Source organism: Homo sapiens, chromosome 3 (genome assembly GCF_000001405.40).
Source record: "Homo sapiens chromosome 3, GRCh38.p14 Primary Assembly".
Classification (NCBI taxonomy): domain Eukaryota; kingdom Metazoa; phylum Chordata; class Mammalia; order Primates; family Hominidae; genus Homo; species Homo sapiens.
In genome coordinates this window covers 60,692,228-60,716,214 of record NC_000003.12, presented here as the reverse complement: position 1 = coordinate 60,716,214, position 23,987 = coordinate 60,692,228, and the positions used below count along the sequence as shown (strand labels likewise).

Genomic DNA, 23,987 nt, shown 5'->3' with positions numbered 1-23,987 from the left:
GGAGTGTAGCGGTGTGATCTCAGCTAAACTGCAAACTCTGCCTCCTGGGTTCAAGTGATTCTCCTGCCTCAGCCTCCCGAGTAGCTGGGATTACAGGCATGCACCACCACACCTGGCTAATTTGTTTGTATTTTTAGTAAAGACAGGGTTTTGCAATGTTGGTCTCGAACTCCTGACCTCAGGTGATCCGCCTGCCTTGGCCTCCCGAAGTGCTGGGATTACAGGCATGAGCCACCGTGCTCAGCCAAGGCCACATTTTGAATCTAGAACCACAATGCTCAAAGGGTGCTTCACAGACTCCTGGTGATCCCTGAGATCCTTCCAGGGAGTCTGCAAGGTCGAAACTATATTACTGTAATACTAAGTTGCTCTTTTTCTTTTTCACTATGTTAATATTTTCATTAATGATGCAAATGTAATGTTTTGTTTTGTTTTTTATTATTATTATACTTTAAGTTTTAGGGTACATGAGCACAATGTGCAGGTTAGTTACATATGTATACATGTGCCATGCTGGTGTGCTGCACCCATTAACTCATCATTTAGCATTAGGTATATCTCCTAAGGCTACCCCTCCCCCCTCCCCCCACCCCACAACAGTCCCCAGAGTGTGATGTTCCCCTTCCTGCGTCCATGTGTTCTCATTGTTCAATTCCCATCTATGAGTGAGAACACGTGGTGTTTGGTTTTTTGTCCTTGTGATAGTTTACTGAGAATGATGATTTCCAATTTCATCCATGTCCCTACAAAGGACATGAACTCATCATTTTTTTACGGCTGCATGGTATTCCATGGTGTATATGTGCCACAATTTCTTAATCCAGTCTATCATTGTTGGACATTTTGGTTGGTTCCAAGTCTTTGCTATTGCGAATAGTGCCTCATATGGTATGGTTTTAGGTCTAATGTTTAAGTCTTTAATCCATCTTGAATTGATTTTTGTATAAGGTGTAAGAAAGGGATCCAGTTTCAGCTTTCTACCTATGGCTAGCCAGTTTTCCCAGCACCATTTATTAAATAGGGAATCCTTTCCCCATTGCTTGTTTTTGTCAGGTTTGTCAAAGATCAGATAGTTGTAGATATGCGGCATTATTTCTGAGGGCTCTGTTCTGTTCCATTGATCTATATCTCTGTTTTGGTACCAGTACCATGCTGTTTTGGTTACTGTAGCCTTGTAGTATAGTTTGAAGTCAGGTAGCATGATGCCTCCAACTTTGTTCTTTTGGCTTAGGATTGACTTGGCGATGCGGGCTCTTTTTTGGTTCCATATGAACTTTAAAGTAGTTTTTTCCAATTCCGTGAAGAAAGACATTGGTAGCTTGATGGGGATGACATTGAATCTATAAATTACCTTGGGCAGTATGGCCATTTTCATGCTATTGATTCTTCCTACTCATGAGCATGGAATGTTCTTCCATTTGTTTGTATCCTCTTTTATTTCATTGAGCAGTGGTTTGTAGTTCTCCTTGAAGAGGTCCTTCACGTCCCTTGTAAGTTGGATTCCTAGGTATTTTCTTCTCTTTGAAGCAGTTGTGAATGGGAGTTCACTCATGATTTGGCTCTCTGTTTGTCTGTCATTGGTGTATAAGAATGCTTGTGATTTTTGTACATTGATTTTGTATCCTGAGACTTTGCTGAAGTTGCTTATCAGCTTAAGGAGATTTTGGGCTGAGGCAATGGGGTTTTCTAGATATACAATCATGTCATCTGCAAACAGGAACAATTTGACTTCCTCTTTTCCTAATTGAATACCCTTTATTTCCTCCTCCTGCCTAATTGCCCTGGCCAGAACTTCCAACACTATGTTGAATAGGAGTGGTGAGAGAGGGCATCCCTGTCTTGTGCCAGTTTTCAAAGGGAATGCTTCCGGTTTTTGCCCATTCAGTATGATATTTGCTGTGGGTTTGTCATAGATAGCTCTTATTATTTTGAGATATGTCCCATCAATACCTGATTTATTGAGAGTTTTTAGCATGAAGGGTTGTTGAATTTTGTCAAAGGCCTTTTCTGCATCTATTGAGATAATCGTATGGTTTTTGTCTTTGGTTCTGTTTATATGCTGGATTACATTTATTGATTTGCGTATATTGAACCAGCCTTGCATCCCAGGGATGAAGCCCACCTGCTCATGGTGGATAAGCTTTTTGTTGTGCTGCTGGATTCAGTTTGCCAGTATTTTATTGAGGATTTTTGCATCAATGTTCATCAAGGATATTGGTCTAAAATTCTCTTTTTTGGTTGTGTCTCTGCCAGGCTTTGGTATCAGGATGATGCTGGCCTCATAAAATGAGTTAGGGAGGATTCCCTCTTTTTCTATTGATTGGAATAGTTTCAGAAGGAATGGTACCAGTTCCTCCTTGTACCTCTGGTAGAATTCGGCTGTGAATCCATCTGGTCCTGGACTCTTTTTGGTTGGTAAGCTATTGATTATTGCCACAATTTCAGATCCTGTTATTGGTCTATTCAGAGATTCAACTTCTTCCTCGTTTCGTTTAGTCTTGGGAGAGTGTATGTGTCGAGGAATTTATCCATTTCTTCTAGATTTTCTAGTTTATTTGCATAGAGGTGTTTATAGTATTCTCTGATGGTAGTTTGTATTTCTGTGGGATCAGTGATGATATCCCCTTTATCATTTTTTATTGTGTCTATTTGATTCTTCTCTCTTTTTTTCTTTATTAGTCTTGCTAGCGGTCTATCAATTTTGTTGATCCTTTCAAAAAACCAGCTCCTGGATTCATTAATTTTTTGAAGGGTTTTTTGTGTCTCTATTTCCTTCAGTTCTGCTCTGATTTTAGTTATTTCTTGCCTTCTGCTAGCTTTTGAATGTGTTTGCTCTTGCTTTTCTAGTTCTTTTAACTGTGATGTTAGGGTGTCAATTTTGGATCTTTCCTGCTTTCTCTTGTGGGCATTTAGTGCTATAAATTTCCCTCTACACACTGCTTTGAATGTGTCCCAGAGATTCTGGTATGTTGTGTCTTTGTTCTCGTTGGTTTCAAAGAACATCTTTATTTCTGCCTTCATTTCATTATGTACCCAGTAGTCATTCAGGAACAGGTTGTTCAGTTTCCATGTAGTTGAGCGGTTTTGAGTGAGTTTCTTAATCCTGAGTTCTACTTTGATTGCACTGTGGTCTGAGAGACAGTTTGTTATAATTTCTCTTCTTTTACGTTTGTTGAGGAGAGCTTTACTTCCAACTATGTGGTCAATTTTAGAACAGGTGTGGTGTGGTGCTGAAAAGAATGTATATTCTGTTGATTTGAGTTGGAGAGTTCTGTAGATGTCTATTAGGTCCGCTTGCTGCAGAGCTGAGTTCAATTCCTGGGTATCCTTGTTAACTTTCTGTCTCGTTGATCTGTCTAATGTTGACAGTGGGGTGTTAAAGTCTCCCATTATTATTGTGTGGGAGTCTAAGTCTCTTTGTAGGTCGCTCAGGACTTGCTTTATGAATCTGGGTGCTCCTGTATTGGGTGCATATATATTTAGGATAGTTAGCTCTTCTTGTTGAATTGATCCCTTTACCATTATGTAATGGGCTTCTTTGTCTCTTTTGATCTTTGTTGGTTTAAAGTCTGTTTTATCAGAGAGTAGGATTGCAACCCTTGCCTTTTTTTGTTTTCCATTTGCTTGGTAGATCTTCCTCCATCCCTTTATTTTGAGCCTATGTGTGTCTCTGTATGTGAGATGGGTTTCCTGAATACAGCACACTGATGGGTCTTGACTCTTTATCCAGTTTGCCAGTCTGTGTCTTTTAATTGGATAATTTAGTCCATTTACATTTATAGTTAATATTGTTATGTGTGAATTTGATCCTGTCATTATGATGTTAGCTGGTTATTTTGCTTGTTAGTTGATGCAATTTCTTCCTAGTTTCGATGGTCTTTACATTTTGGCATGATTTTGCAGCGGCTGGTACCGGTTGTTCCTTTCCATGTTCAGTGCTTCCTTCAGGAGCTCTTTTAGGGCAGCCTGGTGGTGACAAAATCTCTCAGCATTTGCTTGTCTGTAAAGGATTTTATTTCTCCTTCACTTATGAAGCTTAGTTTGTTTGGCTGGATATGAAATTCTGGGTTGAAAATTCTTTTCTTTAAGAATGTTGAATATTGGCCCCCAGTCTCTTCTGGCTTGTAGTATTTCTGCCGAGAGATCAGCTGTTAGTCTGATGGGCTTCCCTTTGTGGGTAACCCGACCTTTCTGTCTGGCTGCCCTTAACATTTTTTCCTTCATTTCAACTTTGGTGAATCTGACAATTATGTGTCTTGGAGTTGCTCTTCTTGAGGAGTATCTTTGTGGCGTTCTCTGTATTTCCTGAATCTGAATGTTGGCCTGCCTTGCTAGATTGTGGAAGTTCTCCTGGATAATATCCTGCAGAGTGTTTTCCAACTTGGTTCCATTCTCCCCGTCACCTTCAGGTACACCAAACATGCAGATTTGGTCTTTTCACATAGTCCCATATTTCTTGGAGGCTTTGTTCATTTCTTTTTATTCTTCTTTCTCTAAACTTCCCTTCTCACTTCATTTCATTCATTTCATCTTCCATCACTGACACCCTTTCTTCCAGTTGATCACATTGGCTCCTGAGGCCTCTGCATTCTTCACGTAGTTCTCGAGCCTTGGCTTTGAACTCCATCAGCTCCTTTAAGCACTTCTCTGTATTGGTTATTCTAGTTATACATTTGTCTAAATTTTTTTCAAAGTTTTCAACTTCTTTGCCTTTGGTTTGAATTTCCTCCTGTAGCTCGGAGTGGTTGGATCATATGAAGACTTCTTCTCTCAACTTGTCAAAGTCATTCTCTGTCCAGCTTTGTTCCATTGCTGGTGAGGAGCTGCGTTCCTTTGGAGGAGGAGAGGCGCTCTGCTTTTTAGAGTTTCCAGTTTTTTTGCTCTTGTTTTTTCCCCATCTTTGTGGTTTTATCTACTTTTGGTCTTTGATGATGGTGATGTACAGATGGGTTTTTGGTGTGGATGTCCTTTCTGTTTTTTAGTTTTCCTTCTAACAGACAGGACCCTCAGCTGCAGGTCTGTTGGAGTTGCTAGAGGTCCACTCCAGACCCTGTTTGTGTGGGTATCAGCAGTGGTGTCTGCAGAACCATGGATTTTCGTGATCTGTGAATGCTGCTGTCTGATAGTTCCTCTGGAAGTATTGTCTCAGAGAAGTACCCAGCCGTGTGAGGTGTCAGTCTGCCCCTACTGGGGGGTGCCTCCCTGTTAGGCTGCTCGGGGGTCAGGGGTCAGGGACCCACTTGAGGAGGCAGTCTGCCCATTCTCAGATCTCCAGCTGCATGCTGGGAGAACCACTGCTCTCCTCAAAGCTGTCAGTCAGGGACATTTAAGTCTGCAGAGGTTACTGCTGTCTTTTTGTTTGTCTGTGCCCTGCCCCCAGAGGTGGAGCCTACAGAGGCAGGCAGGCCTCCTTGATCTGTGATGGGCTCCACCCAGTTGGAGCTTCCAGGCTGCTTTGTTTACCTAAGTGAGCCTGGGCAATGGCGGTCGCCCCTTCCCCAGCCTCGCTGCCGCCTTGCAGTTTGATCTCAGATTGCTGTGCTAGCAATCAGTGAGACTCCGTGGGTGTAGGACCCTCCGAGCCAGGTGTGGGATATAATCTCCTGGTGCGCCATTTCCTAAGCCCATCGGAAAAGCGTGGTATTCAGGTGGGAGGGGCCCGATTTTCCAGGTGCCGTCTGTCACCCCTTTCCTTGAGCAGGAAAGGGAACTCCCTGATCCCTTGCGCTTCCCGAGTGAGGCAATGCCTTGCCCTGCTTCAGCTGGTGCACGGTGCACTGCACCCACTCTCCTGCGCCCACTGTCTGGCACTCCCTAGTGAGATGAACCGGGTACCTCAGATGGAAATGCAGAAATCACCCATCTTCTGTGTCGCTCACTCTGGGAGCTGTAGACCGGAGCTGTTCCTCTTCGGACATCTTGGCTCCTCCAAATGTAATGTTTTTTAAAACTACTGGCACCATAGCATGAATCAAGACAGTGGCACTGAACTGTACTTTTGGCCTTTCATTTTTCACTGCCATGCACTATGGTTAAAAAAAATAAAAAGTCAACTTTTTCTAAGAATATCCTTGTTGAAAAGTAAAAATTATTAATTTAATTGCATTTTGATTGTTGAGTTTTTTTTTTTTTTTTTTTTTAGCATTCTGTGTGCTGAAATGGGAAGTATGCAGAAAGAACTGCTGCTGTGTACTGACATATCATGGTTGTCTCAAGGAAAAGCACTTGTGAGACTGGGTAGTGAAATGAACCAGCTACCTTTTATATGGAACACTATTTTTCTGCATGAAAGAAGCATTGAAAGACAAACTATAATTATGCAAACTCAAGTATTTAACATATTTTCTTTAAAATGCACAAAGTGAGTCTGTTGCTTTAAGTAAACCGTTGGCCAGTATTTGTTGATAGTGATAAAATTCAAGCTTCTAAGCAAAAATTCAAATTTTGGGAAACTTGGATATGCCACCATGAGCTTGACAGCTTCCCAATACTTAAAGACTTTTTCTAATAAAAGGTCAATGATGATATTGCAAATATAATTCTTTTTTATATCATGCAATGAAAGGTGTCAACATTTGGAAGATCTGCATAATCCAATGAACCACTATTTTTGTCCAGAGCAATGTGCACTGTTACAAAATTTCACATGGGGAAAGGATCCATTCAAAATGCTACACAGACCATGGATTTTTCACATAACAGAGCACTAAAAATTTCTTGATGTGGTTTCGGGTTCTACTCTGCAAGTAACTTTTAAAGAAACTACCATTTGTTAAGTTTTGATGCAGTATTAGAGAAAAAATCCAGTTATTTGAAAAGGCTATTAAAATATTCCTTCTAGATTTTCTTGGCACACTTCAACCCTAATAATATATCACAACACAATGCAGAAACAGATAGGAGAATCCACCTGTCTTCTATTAGGCTAAATATTAATGTGATGTTGAGACAATGCCACTCTTCTCACTAGCTCTTTTTTCGGGAAAATATGTATATTTACATGTAATTGGTTATTACTGTCATTTTAAAATAAATTCATAGTGTTTTGAAAGTTTTCTGTTTTAATTTCTAACATGGTAAATATCCATAGATATAACCAACATAACCACAAACTCTTTGGGGCCTTCCACAGTTTTTAGGAGTGGAAATGGATCCTGAGACCAAAATGTTTGAGAACTGCTGACCTAGAGAAACATTCTCTAAAGTACGTTCCATAGAATGCTCTGCCTTGCAATGCGCTATAGAAACCCAGTTGCCAGAAACAAAGGCAATATAAAGCAGGAATAATTTGTGGTTGAAGAAGTTTACAAATGTTACTAGCTACAGCCCCCCATGGAGATTCACAGTTGGTAATAGCACATTAAAAGTTCAGCTTGAACTTCATTCCAATATCACTCTTTCCCAAACTCTTTTGTCCACAAAAACATTTTCCCATGGAATAAGCTTTGGGGAATACTGTTCCCTTGCCAACAATGAGTCTTAACATTTTAAATATATTGCAAAGTGATGGATTAAAAGTGGTATGTCCTCATTAATTGGCTCCTAAAGTCTGGAATTTTAATTTTAGGGCCATTCATGTTTTCCTTTAGAACAGCCTCCAGCCAGTAACTTCTCTACTCAAGCCACCAGGGAGGTAAAAGGTTTGCCAATTACAGGATAGGGTTTCACTACATTCGCCTTTTTCAGTTCAATAAATCAGATTGTTTTTCAGGTCTCAAAGACAGGCAAATTCATGAAAACCAATGATGGTAAAAATATGTCATGGGTGTCACATATCAATGAACTTGGGAAGGGTTTCTATAGGGGCTGAATACAACTGACTCAGCAGGTTGCTGGCATTACTTGAAATGAATGTGCTTTTGGTAGGAGCTGATTTCTTCTTTCCATGTAATGGTTAGTCAATCATACATGCTCTCTGGTTTGGATTCCTCTGGCAAATTGCCCATTAGTAAGGCTGTGTAAATAAGCAGAGTCTGTTTTACCACCACAGATCTTTCTCCTAGTAAATGATGGTGAATTCTAGCTTAGGAATCCGTTTGCTGATACTAATTCCATAATTACTAGGATAAAATTATACTTGAATATAAGCCTTGCCAACCACTGTATTTTCACTTTGAATCTATACTAAGAAATAAACAGAATGTGAGTTAAATGTGTATTTATGAAGATGTTCACTGGAGCATTATTTATAATACCCCAAGTTGAAATCAACTAAAATGCTGACAAATGTGGAAATAATTGAAAACTATAGCGTATTCACGTAACAAAATGCCACACAGAGTTTTAAAACTCTAGCTTTTGAAGACTATTTAAAAATATGCAACAGTATACCCAAACTAATGTCAGGAAGATAAAAACATCATGATAAATTTTGCTGGACTGTTTTCCAGAAAGGACATTCCAATTTACATCCTCACCAGCATCTGTTTGGGAGTGCTTCTCTCTCTGCATTCTTGCCAACTGTGAGTGTTATTTTAAACAATATTTTCTAATCTGATAGGATAAAAATGATATGTTATTCTTATATTAAGGAGGCATTCAAAAGGGAAGACAGAACAGTAATTGGCACTTCCAGAAGAGACTGCTGGACTCTAATTGCTACCTTGTAGGCAGAACTTTTGGCTGCATTGACTGTAGATGGGTTCCCTCTGATTACTGACATCTGACATCTCCTGGAAGACAGTTCTAGAGCCTAGGGAAGTGATTTGGGCCTAGAAATTAAAAATAACCATGAAAATTCCACCTAGTTAAAGTTGTAGTCATTTATAATTTATCCGTGGATAGATTCAATAAATACTCTGTTAAGTTCATCTCTATCCATGTGTAAACCCCCCAAATAAACATTTAATAGACTTAGAGGCAGAGAGAGAATATATGCCTGTCAGTCTCCTGTGTCAGTGGCTTTGCCATTATAAAGTTATAGTAGATCATAGAATCATCTGTAAGGTGATTAAAATTGTCATCACGGTTTCCATTTTTCACATCCTTTACTTAACAGCATGTATGCAAAAGGTTTGCAGAGTGCCTGTGGGCTTTTTGGAGCTACTAAAGGGACTCGTTTCCTATTCCATTCCCTGCCACTTACCGCAGAGGTGCCAGTCATGCCTACAGAAATATTTTGTCATAGTCACACTGCAACTGGGTAGAATATTGAAGTAAATGTCAAAAATGTAGCCATGTGAAAAGAATCAGAAGGCAGTGTTGTTATTCAAAGAGTTTTCTTCCGGCTTGGGCTCCTGTCTGCATGGAGCAGGCTGGATGTCTAATTTCAGCAGTACAATTAATTCTCGGACAAGATGAGAAAAGATGTAAGTGCCACAATTGTATAACTTGGAAGTTGCTTCACTAATTCATGTGCTTATTTTCTTTGCAATTTCATCTGAAAGCATCTTTTGATGGCTTTTTGATGTTGTTGAATTTTTAAAATCTTTTGAATGATGAAAATGGACAAAAACAGAATTCAGCAAAATGTAAATGAATCAGACCAAATGGGATGCAAGAATATATTGTGCAGATCTGGAATGGAAATAGAAATATTTTTTCTTCCTTTTTGAGGAGAATTATAAAACTTTCCATAGTGTGTCAGACATGGTGTTTCGCCTTCTCTGTTCCCAAACGTTTAAAAGGTGACAAAATGCTGTTTTAAAATGTCGAGGTAATTATTGTTCACTCTGATAATAAATTAAGTGTTCATTCTAACCCAAAGACTTGTCCTCTAACCCTGATATGATCTTTCAACACCACTGTGAATTTATTTTTTAAAATCATGATTCCACTTTTAATGTTTTCACTTTTGCACCTTTCTTTTCTTTTTTACTTAAAGTTCTGGGTTACATGTGCAGAACGTGCAGGTTTGTTACATAGGTATACATGTGCCATGGTGGTTTGCTGCACCCATCAACCTGTCATCTAGGTTTTAAGCCCCGCATGCATTAGTCCTAATGCTATCCCTCCCCTTGCCCCCCAAACCCCCAACAGGCCCCGATGTGTGATGTTCCCCTCCCTGTGTCCATGTGTTCTCATTGTTCAATTCCCACTTATGAGTGAGAACATACGCTGTCTGGTTTTCTGTTCCTGTGTTAGTTTCCTGAGAATGATGGCTTCCAGCTTCATCCATGTAGTGCCGTCTCTTATTATAATTATGATAATATCCTAGATGTAGATGTTAAAGAATATTCTGGACTGAGTCATGGAAAATAGCTATTGTCTGTTAAATAAAAGATGCCATGACAATGGCCTATGTGTGGCTTGAAATACATTTTTGAGAAGGCTGTAACAAAAAATAATATAGTTATAATATATTCTTATTCAAAGGAAGGATGATTTTCAACCTTTATTATACAACAGAGAGGTCACAGTATTAAGAGGGTCAGCTAGGACTTGCTGGGATGGTGTGTGGAGGACAGCTGGAGAGATGGTGGGTGTGAGACGCATGTGTAGCTTCTTAACTGAGCTGTAGAATGTTTAGACTCCGTTCAGTAATTAAGTAGTGTTTTCAAGCTTTTGTGTATATGTGTATACACCATTTACACCTACAGGAGTATGTTCTTCAAAGCCTTGAACATATTTACTGGAAACCATGAATTTCAAAATAGTATTTTTCTCAAAGGGATCTGGTAATGGCATAAAACCACCATAGCCAAGTGATCCCTAGAGACCAACGTTGAATTTCAAACCCGAATTCAATAGAATTGCTTTTCCTTTTCTATTTTTTAAAAAAGTACATTAAATCCAAATTAGTGTCCTGTATTTCTATCATCTTTCTCTTTCTTGTCTTATTTTTGTGACTTCTTTTTGCAACTTGGGGTGACAAGCCTTCACTTCATTAGCTTTGCTTGCCTGACTCTGAAACAAGGTGAAGGTTCTTATTTCCCTTTGGTCTCCATTTTCTTATCTGTAAAGAAGGTTATTGATGCCTTTAATGTTGCTTTCATCTCTGAAGTTCTATGTTTATGTCTCCTTCCTCTTTTATCCTGCTTCCATTATGGATTTACTGTGAGGATAAAATAAGAAAAGTGTCATGAAAGTAGTTTGAAAATTGTAATGCAGTGTAAAAATATAAAGTATGATTGTTGCTATCTTGTATCATTCTCTGTGGTTTCTCCTATGTTTACAAGATTGCATTTTCCAGGTGTGTAGTACCTTAAACTTTTTTTTTTTTTTTTAATTCCACAGTGGACTTAACAGAGTATGTGCTAAAGAAACACCTATGGGTTGGTTCATTCTTCAGCCAGGGATGTTTATTTATCTCTTGGACAGAGTGGCAGTCATGTGAAGCTCACCAGTTAAATAGTTTAATTTTAGGCATTTCTTGAGGCTAAAGAGCAGACTTATCAGCCTCTCAAGATATCTCTGAGAAGTAAGAATATGTTAGTTTTCCAGAGAATCAAGTAGTTGATGGTAAGTTTTAACAACATTATTTTTTAGGAAGCAGCTATAATGATTAATCAGACGACTGACCAGTAAGGAAGGTATGACCCTGACAGAATTGGATCACTTTATTCTTCCTTTGATTTGTATTTAAAATCCAAATAGAATGGCATTCAACAAATTAAGATGCAGAAGCTAATTGCAAAAAAAGGTTCATTTTTCAAGTTGTTTTTCTGTCTCTTTCTGCCTGGAGCAAAGTCTTGCTCTATGTAACAATAACCCCTTGAAATGTCATTTAGATCAGAAGTGCTGATGCAGCACTAATGATTTTAGAGCAAATATGTTACTCTAATTTCCTCCATCTGCTATGAATAAAAGAATATGTTTGTGAAGTCTGGGAGAGCTGTAGAGAAAATTGTTTTGTAGAAAAGTTGAAGATATTTTAAAATGTGTGCAGGTGTGGGGGAAAAATAATTCTTTTTAAAATTTTGTCAAGTATCTAAAAAAATAGAAGCTTTATTGTAGCTCAGTGGAAATGTCATAAACTTTTTTAGCATACTTTTGATAAGACTTTAGGGGAGTAGTAAATGACTTGAAGACAAACCATCTAGGTTTCATTGTGACACAGTCCTGATGATTCAAATAAAAACATTTGCTTTGGTTTGTTTAGAGATTCTAACTAGGGATGAGAACTGCTCTTATTCCCTTGATGATTCATTTTATTCTTGGAAGACTGTCGTCTTCTGATTTAATGCATATGTAGTCGTGTGGGAGGAAGATGGTATGTACCCTCTTAGCTTCCCTTGGTCAACTCTGCCAATCAATACTGGTACGGCTAGATTTTTTTTAAAAAAAAATTTTATAGCCATTCACTTTCAAATCTAGGAAAATGATGATTCTTTAGAAAAGTATATATACATTCAGTATTATATTATTCCCATAGGCAAAATAAAAACATTTAATACCAATAATCATAGAAGAAAGTGGAAAATTATTAAACATGTACCACTAGAAAAAAGGCACCAGGCCCAGATAGTTTTACATGTAAACTAGATATTTAAAAACAGGTACTTTAAAAGATTAAAAGATACTTGTAACATACGAAAGCTTTAAAAAACAGATATTCCCTATGGTTCTTAAACAATTCAAGACTATAGAGAAAATAGAATGGGGCTCAACTGTACAAATCTAGCAAAATGTTATATCAAAACTTGAGATAAATAACACTAATGAGATATTTTATGCTAATTTCATTTTCATATGTGGAAGTATATAATTAAAAAATAGCAACTTGTATCTATCTGCTTATGAAAACATGATAAAATGTTTAAAATAGGCTTCATTTCAAAAATTACAAACTGGTTCTGAATTGGAACTTTATACCATTAATTAAAAGATTAAATGATTTGATTATACAACATATGCTTTGTTAATTTCCTAAAACCACCATAACAAATTACCGTTTGGTAATTTGGTAATGAGTGGCTTAAAATAACAGACATTTATTGTCTGTCAGTTTTGAAAGCTAGAGGTTCAAAATCAAGGTACCAGCAGGGACATCCTGCCTTTGAAGGCTCTAAGGGGTGGCCCTCCCTTGCCTTTTCCTACCTTTTAGTAGCTGCCAACAGTCCTTGGCATTTCTTGGCATGCAGACACATTACTCCAGTCTCTGTCTCCTTTATCACATGGTATTCTCTCTGCGTGTCTGACTATATCTCTGGTTTTGCTTCTTATGAGGGCAACAGTCATTGGGTAGGGGCCGCTCTAATCCCTTATGACCTCTAATTACTGTAATCTAACAAATTACATCTGCAAAGACCCAGTTTCAAAATAAAGTCACTTGAGATTCCACATGACTATAAATTATGGAGGACTGTATTCAACTCAGTATGCATACTGATAAGAAATGTGATAAAATGTATTAGAAATTTCTAGCAATACTCTAAATAAAATGGGCATGGAAGGAAGTTAAACACAATAAGGAATATTTATAAAGACCTATAATCAAACATTACATTAAACAGTAAAATATAAAAGTCACTCATATTAAATCAGGAAGAATACACAGGAATATTTGCTATTAGCACTGTTACTTAGCACTGTGTTATGGGTTCTGCTTGTTGTAATCAAACAAAAAAATTAAGCGAAGAAAATGATACTCTCTTCACTGTCATGTGATATGATTATATTCATAGAGAATTTATGACTGTTACACAGTTACTAAGAAAACATGTTAGCTGGATGATCACAAAATAAATATATAAAAATCAAATTTTTTCTTTATACTTTCAATAACTAGTTATCTAGAAATAGAAAAAAATTACTTTGGAAACAAAAAATATAAAATCCTTAGTAACAATTTAACAAAAAAGGCCTATATAGAAAAAAGAAAAATGTTATGGAGATAAAACTGCCTGTCAAAAGAGTCATACTCATATTCCCTAATAGTTTTTATTATTATAAAATGTCATTCATTCCTATAAAATAGATATGTTAATATAATTTATCAGAATGGCAACAGGTTTCATTTTTACTTTTTCTTCTAAACATTAAAATGTAATATAAAGTTACTGTTATTAAAATGGTATGTTGTTAGCCACGAGAACATTTTATAAATGAAACAGAAAAAAGAGAAACAGATCCAAATATATGAAGTTAATATTCAGTAAAAGTGTCTTTTCAGCTGGATGCAGTGGCTCACGCCTATAATCCCAGCATTTTGGGAGGCCAAGATGGGCAGAGTGCTTGAGCCCCAGGAGTTAGAGACCAGCCTGGGCAACATGGCGAAACCCTGTCTGTATAAAATATACAAAAAATTAGCAAGGCATGGTGGCGAAACCACCTTGGCAAAAATTATAACTGAGAAAATTATGACAGTGAAAGAGATCTGACCTTACTGATTCCATCTTGCTTCTAACCTCCAAGCTTTCCTTGTTCATTCCTGGGTGTAGGCTGAACTAACTTTTGGGAGGAACTCAGTTTATAGTTTAACTTTGAAAAAAGATGATAACAGCCCTTTCCCAAAACAAACCCCCTTCCTGTCTGGGGACTAGACTGCCTTTATAGGACTAACACACTAGCTACAAGATTAGAAATTATGGTTTAGGAGTCATGCAGCTGGAGGCTGCGAGATTCTAAACCTCCCAAATCGCTCCACAGGGAAACATCACTATTGGAAAACCTAAGATCAGTACTTGAGCTATTTTGTAGACCCTACACTCCATAGATCAGCTGGCACCACCTAGATGGATAAACTGACTCATCTGGTCTTGTGGCCCCCACCCAGGAACTGACTCAGCAAAAGAGGACAGCTTCGACTCCCTGTGATTTCATATCCCACCCAACCAATCAGCACTCCCCCCTTTCCGACCCCCTATCCACCACATTATTCTTAAAAGTTTGGATCCCTGAGTTTGGGGGGGAGACTGATTTGAGTAATAATAAAACTCCCGTCTCCCATACAGCCTGCTCTGCGTGAATTAAACTCTTTCTCTATTGCAGTTCCCTCGTCTTGAGAAATTGGCTCTGTCTAGGCAGTAGGCAAGGAGAACCCACTGGGCAATTACAGTGGCACATGCCTGTAGTCCCAGCTACTTTGGAGGCTGAGGTTGGAGGATCACCAGAGCCAGGGAAGTCGAGGCTGCAGTGAGCCGAGGTCACTCCCCTGCACTCCAGCCTGGACAACAAAGGGAGATCCTGTCTTAAAAAAAAAAAAAAAAAAGGGTCTTTTCAGTTCAGTTGGGAAATGTATGTTTATCTAATAAAAGATGCTATGAAAATTGGCTTTTCATCAGTAAGTTGTAAATGTTAGACCACTATTTTTTACAATAAAAATCTAAAAATTCAGATGAATTAAATATATGAATGTACATTAAACAATATAAATTTTAGAAAAATAGGAATTCTTAGACACTGATGACATACAGTTATATACCATATTTGAGAAAAATGGCTAGGGATATTAATTGGCAATTCACAGAGGGAAAATTTAAGTGACCAAGAGACATGCAACTCTGCTCAACTTTACTAGTAGTTGTGGAAATACAAATTAAAATCACAATGAAATAAATACTTTTCCAGTCAAGTAGTTGACAAAATTGGAAAATATTGATAATATCCATGCTTGTTAAAGGTGCTTAGAAATGGAAGAGTTTCATATATTGCTAAATCTGGATATATTTATCAAAATTAATGGTACACTTGCTCTTTGACTCTGCAACCTTAATTTTGGGAGTCAGTAATCTCTGATGTGAAAATGTATATTTAAAGATGGCTGCATTTTTAGTAGTGGCAAAAAAAAATCAAGACAAATAACATTAACATAAAAACAGCACATGAATAGTGAGATTGTTGAATATATTTATACTATAACCATACTGTGAAATATTATGGAACTAATAATAATAACTAAATACATCTATATGTGATGTCCAGCATGTCCATGATATGGCAGCATCTAATCATTTGACTAATTGGAACGATATGAGACCGTTGGAATTAGAAAGCAAAGAATGACTATATCAAAACCTGTTTGTATGTACTGGTATGAAACTAGAAAAAGATGTAGAAGGATAAACAAGTAATTGTTTCTATTTTTTGTTTTGTTTTTTTTAGTTGCCATGGGAAAATGGAATTGGAAATAGTGCTGGGATAGCGTATTGACTTATTTTATATACCACATACATACATACCTGTGTATTTTTTTTTTTTTTTTGAGACAGACTCTCGCTCTGCTGCCCAGGCTGGAGTGCAGTGGCGTGATCTTGGCTCATGGCAACCTCTGCCTCCCGGGTTCAAGCGATTCTCCTGCTTCAGCCTCCTGAGAAGCTGGGATTACAGGCATGCACCCCACACCTGGCTACTTTTTTTGTATTTTTTCACCAGGTTGGCCAGGCTGGTCTTGAACTCCATGACCTCAGATGATCCACCTGCCTCGGCCTCCCAAAGTGTTGGGATTACAGGTGTGAACCACTGTACCTGGCGTATGTGTGCATTTTTGTTTAATTTGTTATGCTGAGTATTGTTTTTAAAATTAAAATGATTTTTCTCATTGTGTGTGTGTATGTGTGTATGTGTGTGTGTGTGTGTGTGTATTTATCTTAAATCCTAATGGTGTTGTACTTTAAGATAATGCTTTTTTTTTTAATTTTTTTTTATTATACTCTAAGTTTTAGGGTACATGTGCACATTGTGCAGGTTAGTTACATATGTATACATGTGCCATGCTGGTGCGCTGCACCCACTAACGATAATGCTTTTATCTTATAGAAAAATGGGCCAAAATTCAAAATACTTTACAAATTACCATTTGAAACGTATCTGAATAATGATTCACAAAGGAAGAGTTATAAAACACCAGTAAAACTCTCAGCCCCATTAGTTATCAAAGCAATAATAATTAGAGCAATAATGACATTTTTGCTCACACTGACAAGTATCCAAAAAATTGATATTTCTCAGTATTATACAGTAGAGGGAAATCTACCTACCTTGCTTAGTAAACTTTCTGGAAGGCAGATTGACAATATTAACCAAAAGGCTCTAATAATGTTTATACTTTCTGGTCCAGCTATACTATTTCTGGAAAGTAATACTAAGGAAATAACTGCAAAGATGTGTGTATGGATGCTCATTTCAATTTTGTTTACAGTAGTGGAAAAAGCTGTAAATCTATGTACTCATAAGTAGTTGGGTATTTAAATAAATTCACTTAAAAGTTATATTTTACAACTATACACACACAGAGATACCCATAAAACATTTAAAAGGTGTAATGAAAATTTTTGTATAATGATACAGATTGTTACTTATGGCATAGAAAGATGTTCATAAAACAGTTGATTAGTTTTGATTGTTATATAATATCATCTAATTTTGTGATACGCTTATGTATTAAGATGAATGGGAGTATAAACACCAGACTGTTAAAAGTCAGTTTCTCTGGGTGATGTGCTAATAGATTATTTTTTATATTTCTGTATTTTTTGAACTTTTTGAAATGTGCTTGATACACTTTTATTAAGAAAAATACATGAAAGTTTGTCCAAAATCCTAATTTTTAAAAAAGCACACAAAGGACCAAACTGGAAATGCTTTAAAAATTAAAAAGGGTAGGGGAGCAATAAAACAATGTAAAATATATATAGACTCAGTGAAGAAAGCATGGCTTATTACTATTAATAGTCTTAATAGTGCAAGTTGTTAGTTGATAATGTAGGCCTATTGAGAGACCTGTTGGAAGGTTTGTTTTGAGCCCATTGTTAGCTTAAATATCTGACCTTTTCTATTTAGCTCCCCAGCCATAGGTAGTTTAACAAAAGGTTCTTCACTAACACATTTACTTTATGCGGTTTGTTTGGGGGTGAGGTTTGCAATTTTTCTCCAGGGAGTAAATTACTTCATGTAGCTTGTTCTCAAACACTTATCTCAGAAGCCGCACACCTTTCTGATAGAAGCCAAATGTCATGACTGAAGGTATGGGACAAAAGCCTGATTTATATTCCTGAAACGCCTCTTTTATGTTCTAGAAGCCAAATCTGCATTCTTATGGAGTGGTGTAGAATGTCAGTACAAATGCTGTATCTATGCTGAACCTGGAAAGGAAAAAAAAAGCCACACTCCACTTCTTTATTTAGAGTTTGCATTGAGAACAGCAAGCACTATTTGAAAGGTCATCCCATTTCAAGTAGCAGATGGATAGGAAAAAAAGACTCTGGCTTTTACAAATAATTTAATTGTATTCTCCTTGCCATTTCTGCAGGCAATTCAGGATATTTTTTAAAGCATTGATCCATAATTATCGCTCAGAGTGGTTAGCATTGTTAGACAGATGTGTAATTCCTTGTGTGTATAAGGGAGCAATACAGCATCCATTTTACCTATTTGATTGTCTTTTCTTTTACTGTGTAAACAAATGCACATAAAAACGACACATCATTGCTTTACAAAAAAGAAGCAAATTAATTTTTTTTCCAGATTTGTTTTTGACTTGAAACTCTCCTTTCTAAGGCATGCTGTATTTATAATGGTCAGCTTCTTTGCCTTCCTTTAAGTAAATTAGTTTGGGTCTAGGTAGCATACTTATGTTTATAGTCCGCTGGACACAAGGGGTCAGAAACCATGAAACACAAATGTATCATATTAATAGAATATGAAATGAAATGACTAAGACTTTTAAGAATGCATTTTATCTGTGGTTTATTTTCCTGTCTTTTAAAATATATATATTATTTGTAATCTAACCATGCTATTCTGATTGGTTTACAATTGCCAGATAAAATTCAGGATGCCCAGTTAAATCTGAATTTCAGAGAAAAAGAATGAACACCTTTTTGAGTATAAGTGTGTCTCATGTAATAGATTGGAGAGTCATCTCAGAATGAAACATACTATTTAAATAAAATTGTGAAATATAATTTGTACAGGAAAAGTGCATATGACATGTATGAACAGTTTAATGAATAACTATAAATAAACACCTATCTCAAGGTTCACCCAAGTCAATACATTGTATTTCTAGCATCCCCAGCAGTCCTCTGAAAATTCCCTGATCTGAACCCTCTCTCTGATCATATTAGAGGTAGTCACTATCCTGTCCTTTGACATATCCATTTTCCTTCATTAATTGATACCTTTATTACCAGCTTAGGTACTTGCAATCACTGTAAGTTCTGTATATTTTAAATTTTATATAAATTGAATTATACTGCATGTATTTGTAAAGGTGAAATATTAATAATTCAATCCAATTTGGGGGAAAATACTAGGGATAACTTTCCATCAAATTATACAATTGACAACTTGAGTATACTTGAGTTTTCCATGTAGGAGAGACTAAAGGGTAATCCTTTAAAAGAAATCTTAATGAGTGCACTCATGTTGCTAGTGCCACAAATATTTACTTTTAAAAAAATACTCTTCCCCTCAAAATGTTTGTTCTCCCACGCATCATTGATTTTCCAGAACTTGGGGCCAGTCCAGTGATACTTTCACTGGATTTCTGTTGTGTTGATATCAGTGGAGTAAATCACATCTTCAACCTAAGGTCGTAATGTTTACCAGTAAATGGATAAAGAGCCTTTTGATTTATTATTCATGTAGATATCAATGCTCAGGATGACTAAGGAACATTCCCTTTTATCTCATAAATTTTATCTAGTGACATTTAAAAACTGTCTTCCGGAGCCCAGCCCTCTGATCCACAGACTCTCTTTCCTTTTGTGGATGGCACCGTGTTCTGCTGTCCTCACTTCTCCTTTATCGCCTTAATGCTGAGAATGGCACATTTTTCCAAGTTGCTTTGAAGAGCAACCATCACAAGAGCAAAAGTAATAAAAAGCAATTTAAAAACAGATTTCTGGATGTTCTAGGAAATAGGCAATTTTGCATGGCAAGCACTTGAACCCAGGGGTGATTTATTATTCATTTGACTGTAGTGAATATTCATGGCTTTTGCATGTTAAATTAGAATTATTGAGATTTTTGTTTACCCTGAAGAAGTATGGGAAGTCGTGTCTTTAAAATTTGAATGTACTGAAATTCACTTTTCAACGTATGGAGAACTTCCTTTCTAGAAGGAACCTTAAAACTGATCTGGTTAAATCTGCTAGGGAATGTGTATAAAAACATTCAGTGTTTTGTAAGACCTGTACTGATATATTTTATATGAGGCTCATACATATAGAGCCATGGTTTCCTTCCTTCCTTCCTTCTTTCCTTCCTTCCTTCCTTTCTTCTTTTAAAGCAGCATTACCCTTTACTCAAAGAAAATCTTGCTTGAAAGTTAAATATGTAAAAGAGCTAGAATTACTTTGTTTGCATACAGAGTGGGACTGGGCTGCACACTCTCCTTATCTCCATTCCTCCGTACAAAGCCCTTGGTTTTCCATAATCACAGCTTTAAAACCATTCATGTACAGCTGAATAGTTTGTCAGACATGTATCAGATACTAGTCTAAACACCTAACAAATATTAACTCTTTAATTCTCACAACAACCCTCATAATGGTTATTATTACTTCCATTTTGTAGGTGAGGGAAGTGAGGTACAAAGAAGTTAAATACGTTGCTCAAGATTACAGCTTGTCAATGGCAGAGCCTCTACAATCTTGTCCCAGCGTCCCTGTTCTTACCCAGAATGCTTTGCAGCCTCTCCCTAGCAGCAGCAGCAATTATGTTGAACTCTTGTTAGGGATTAGGCACTCTGCTACAAGCTTTACATGAATTATCACAGCTGATCCTCCCAAAGCAGCCAGTGAGGTAACAGTATTATCCCCCAGTTTACAGATGTAGGAAATGAAGCATAAATAATTTACATAACATTTCTACAAGGGGAAGACCAGCATCTGAACCCTCACAGTTTGACTTTGGAGCCCATTCTCTTAATCACTATTTCATAAGTTCTCATACAAATGAAAACATTTATATATTTCTTTTTTGTTGTTGTTTCTGAGACAGAGTCTCACTCTGTCGCCCAGGCTGGAGTGCAGTGGCACAATCTCGGCTCACTGCAACCTTTGCCTCCTGGGTTTAAGTGATTCTCCTGCTTCAGCCTCCCAAGTAGCTGAGATTACAGGTACCCGCCACCACACCTGGCTAAATTTTTGTATTTTTAGTAGAGATGGGCTTTTGCCATTTTGGCCAGGCTGGTCTCCAACGCCTGACCTTAGGTGATTCACCTGTCTTGGCTTCCCATAGTGCTGGGATTACAAGAGTGAGCCACAGCACCCGGCCTACCTTTATATATTTCTAAAGTGTTTTAATGGTTTTCTTTTTTTTATTATTATTATACTTTAAGTTCTAGGGTACATGTGCACAACGTGCAGGTTTGTTACATATGTATACATGTGCCATGTTGGTGTGCTGCACCCATTAACCCGTCATTTACATTAGGTATATCTCCTAATGCTATCCCTCCCACCCCCACACCCCACAACAGGCCCCGGTGTGTGATGTTCCCCTTCTTGTGTCCAAGTGTTTTCATTGTTCAGTTCCCACCTGTGAGTGAGAACATGTGGTGTTTGGTTTTTTGTCCTTGCCATAGTTTGCTGAGAATGATGGTTTCCAGCTTCATCCATGTCCCTACAAAGGACATGAAGTCATCCTTTTTTATGGCTGCATAGTATTCCATTGTGTATATGTGCCATATTTTCTTAATCCAGTCTATCATTGATGGACATTTGGGTTGGTTCCAGGTCTTTGCTATTGTGAATAGTGCCGCAATAAACATATGTGTGCATGTGTCTTTATAGCAGCAATATTTATAATCCTTTGGGTATATACCCAGTAATGGGATGGCTGGGTTAAATGGTATTTCTAGTTCTAGATCCTTGAGGAATCGCCACACTGACTTCCACAATGGTTGAAGTAGTTTACAGTCCCACCAACAATGTAAAAGTGTTCCTATTTCTCCACATCCTCTCCAGCACCTATTGTTTCCTGACTTTTTAATGATCGCCATTCTAACTGGTGTGAGGTGATATCTCATTGTGGTTTTAATTTGCATTTCTCTGATTGTTTTCTTTCTTTCTTTCCTTTCTTTTTTTTTTTATTTAATGTTGCTTCACATTGGCTAGTAATGCAAAGAGAGCATCGGGTTTTCTGAGGAGCCTAAACATAGCTCTGCCAGGCAGGATCATGCCCAGAGAAAACAGTAAAGGTCAGCATCTTACTGTTCCTTACCCATGTTTTTATGGTGTTCATATTGCCTTTCTGGTCTTTCCCAAATTAGCTGGTTTAATTTCCTCAGTATTCTTTGCAGCTTTACTAACCAATGTCATCAAGTAATTATACTTATTTGACAAGGGCTAATGCTTCTTCTCCTAGGTCAATCTATGTTTTGACTTAATCCTGCTGGGAATAAAAAGTCTTCATCCAGTTTGATGTTTGCAATGGTGGAAATGCTGGGTTCTGTTGCAGACTAATAGTAGAGGATGCCTCTTTCTATTCAGTGCTGGTGTAGCTAAAGAGCTATGCCACCAGAACAATTGTGTCCAATGTGCAAGCATAAAATTATTTTTATAGTAGGACCAGTGAGAAGCCTGATGTTGTAATATCTAGTACTTACAGATGAATGAGTTTATGCTATTCACTAAACTATAGTGTACTTTGGGCCTTTATCTGCTGTACAGAAAGTTTGCAGGACGAGGTCAAGTGAAGAGTACTGGCTGCCATGGGGCCTTCAGCACTGACAAGGCAGAAGGTGCTGCTGTGTTAACTCTGTAATTATGTGTTTATTTTAGAAAAGTATAGTCTACTCCTTAGACTTAATATGCCTTTGTCAATTCCCTCTTAATATTTACCCACGAGTTTAGCCTCTTTAGTTAAATCTTGGGTAAACACAGGGATTTTCAGAGGCTGGTGAGTAGAGAAATATCTACTTGGTCACATCAGAACATATAGAAATCTTGCTTCTACTAGCATCCTATCTAGATAGAGAGAAACTTTAAAAAATATTGTCTTTTACTCCTTCCCCAAGGGAAATTACTGCTATACGAAATTAAAATAGACAGGCCATAGTCATGCCTATTTAAAGAAAACATTTTTACAGTTAGAAAAATATGCCCATTTTATGAAGGTATAATTTCTTAAGTTTGCATTCACTTATGAGGGAGTGACTTAGGTGGATCAGCACCTTATCCAAGAAGGGATTGAAGAATGAATGAAATTAAATTCATATTGGAGTAGTAGCCTCTATTATACCTGGTTCAACTTTCTATAAAAATACTCAAGAAGATATATGCCAAAAAGAAGTCGCTGCCACTAAAAATTTGTTTTTATAGTCAAGCTAGTCTTGATTCTTGTAGAGAATTCTACTAATGAGATGTTTGGTGGAACTAGAATGAACAATTTCAACAGGTGATTCCCTTATGCTGTGGCCAAACAGAGGGAAGACCTTTAATCATTTGGCTGCTATCTTTCCCCTGCTTCAGAAACATGCAAACGCTAATCAGAAAAGTGAACAAGAATTACTATGCATGTAAGTACTTTTGTGAAGCATCACTTTTAATGAAGACATCTTTTGCATATGCATGTGAAGAATGCAAATAGTGGTTACTCAAATAAATGGTCATATATTAGTTTTCTGTGGCTGCTGTAATAAATTAACACAAACTTTGAGGTTCAAAATGACATAGATTTATTATTTTACAGTTTGGGAGGTCAGAAGTTTGAAATAGATGGATATTAGTGGGCTAAGATGTTAGGCTGAATTCCTTTCTGAGGTCTCTAAGGGAAAATGTGTTTCCTTGTCCTTCCTACCTTCCAGAAGCTGCCTGCATTCCTTAGCTTGTGGCCCCCTTTCATCTTCAATATCAGCAATGGCCAGTCAACTCTTTTTCCTATTGCATTGCTCTGACTATTCTACTTCTGTTTTTGAGATTTAATGACCCTTGTGATTACATTGGTCCCACCCTGGTACTGGAGGATAATCTCCCTGTTTTAAGGTCAGACGATTAGCAAACTTAATTCTATCTGCTACCTTAATTTTCCTTTGCCATGTAATCTAACACATTCACAGATTTTAGGGACTAGGATGTAGACACCTTTGGAAGACCATTATCCTGCTTACTAAATAGGGCAGTAATATTTTTGGAAATATGTTTGTCAGGATCTGTCAC

The 23,987-nt window shown here is 37.3% G+C and overlaps 1 protein-coding gene across 7 annotated transcripts in view; it reads left to right on the top strand.

Annotated features, from left to right (window-relative positions):
* The window catches only part of FHIT (fragile histidine triad diadenosine triphosphatase), a 1,504,176-nt gene that overhangs the window by 535,238 nt on the left and 944,951 nt on the right, over positions 1-23,987 (top strand). The window contains exon 5 of one of the 7 annotated variants that reach the window (NR_148921.2): positions 16,092-16,420. The exons of the other annotated variants lie outside the window; for them this stretch is intronic. The gene's annotated coding sequence lies outside the window, so the exon portion shown is untranslated. Of the gene's footprint in view, positions 1-16,091; positions 16,421-23,987 lie in introns of those variants that run through there. 7 annotated transcript variants of the gene reach the window in all.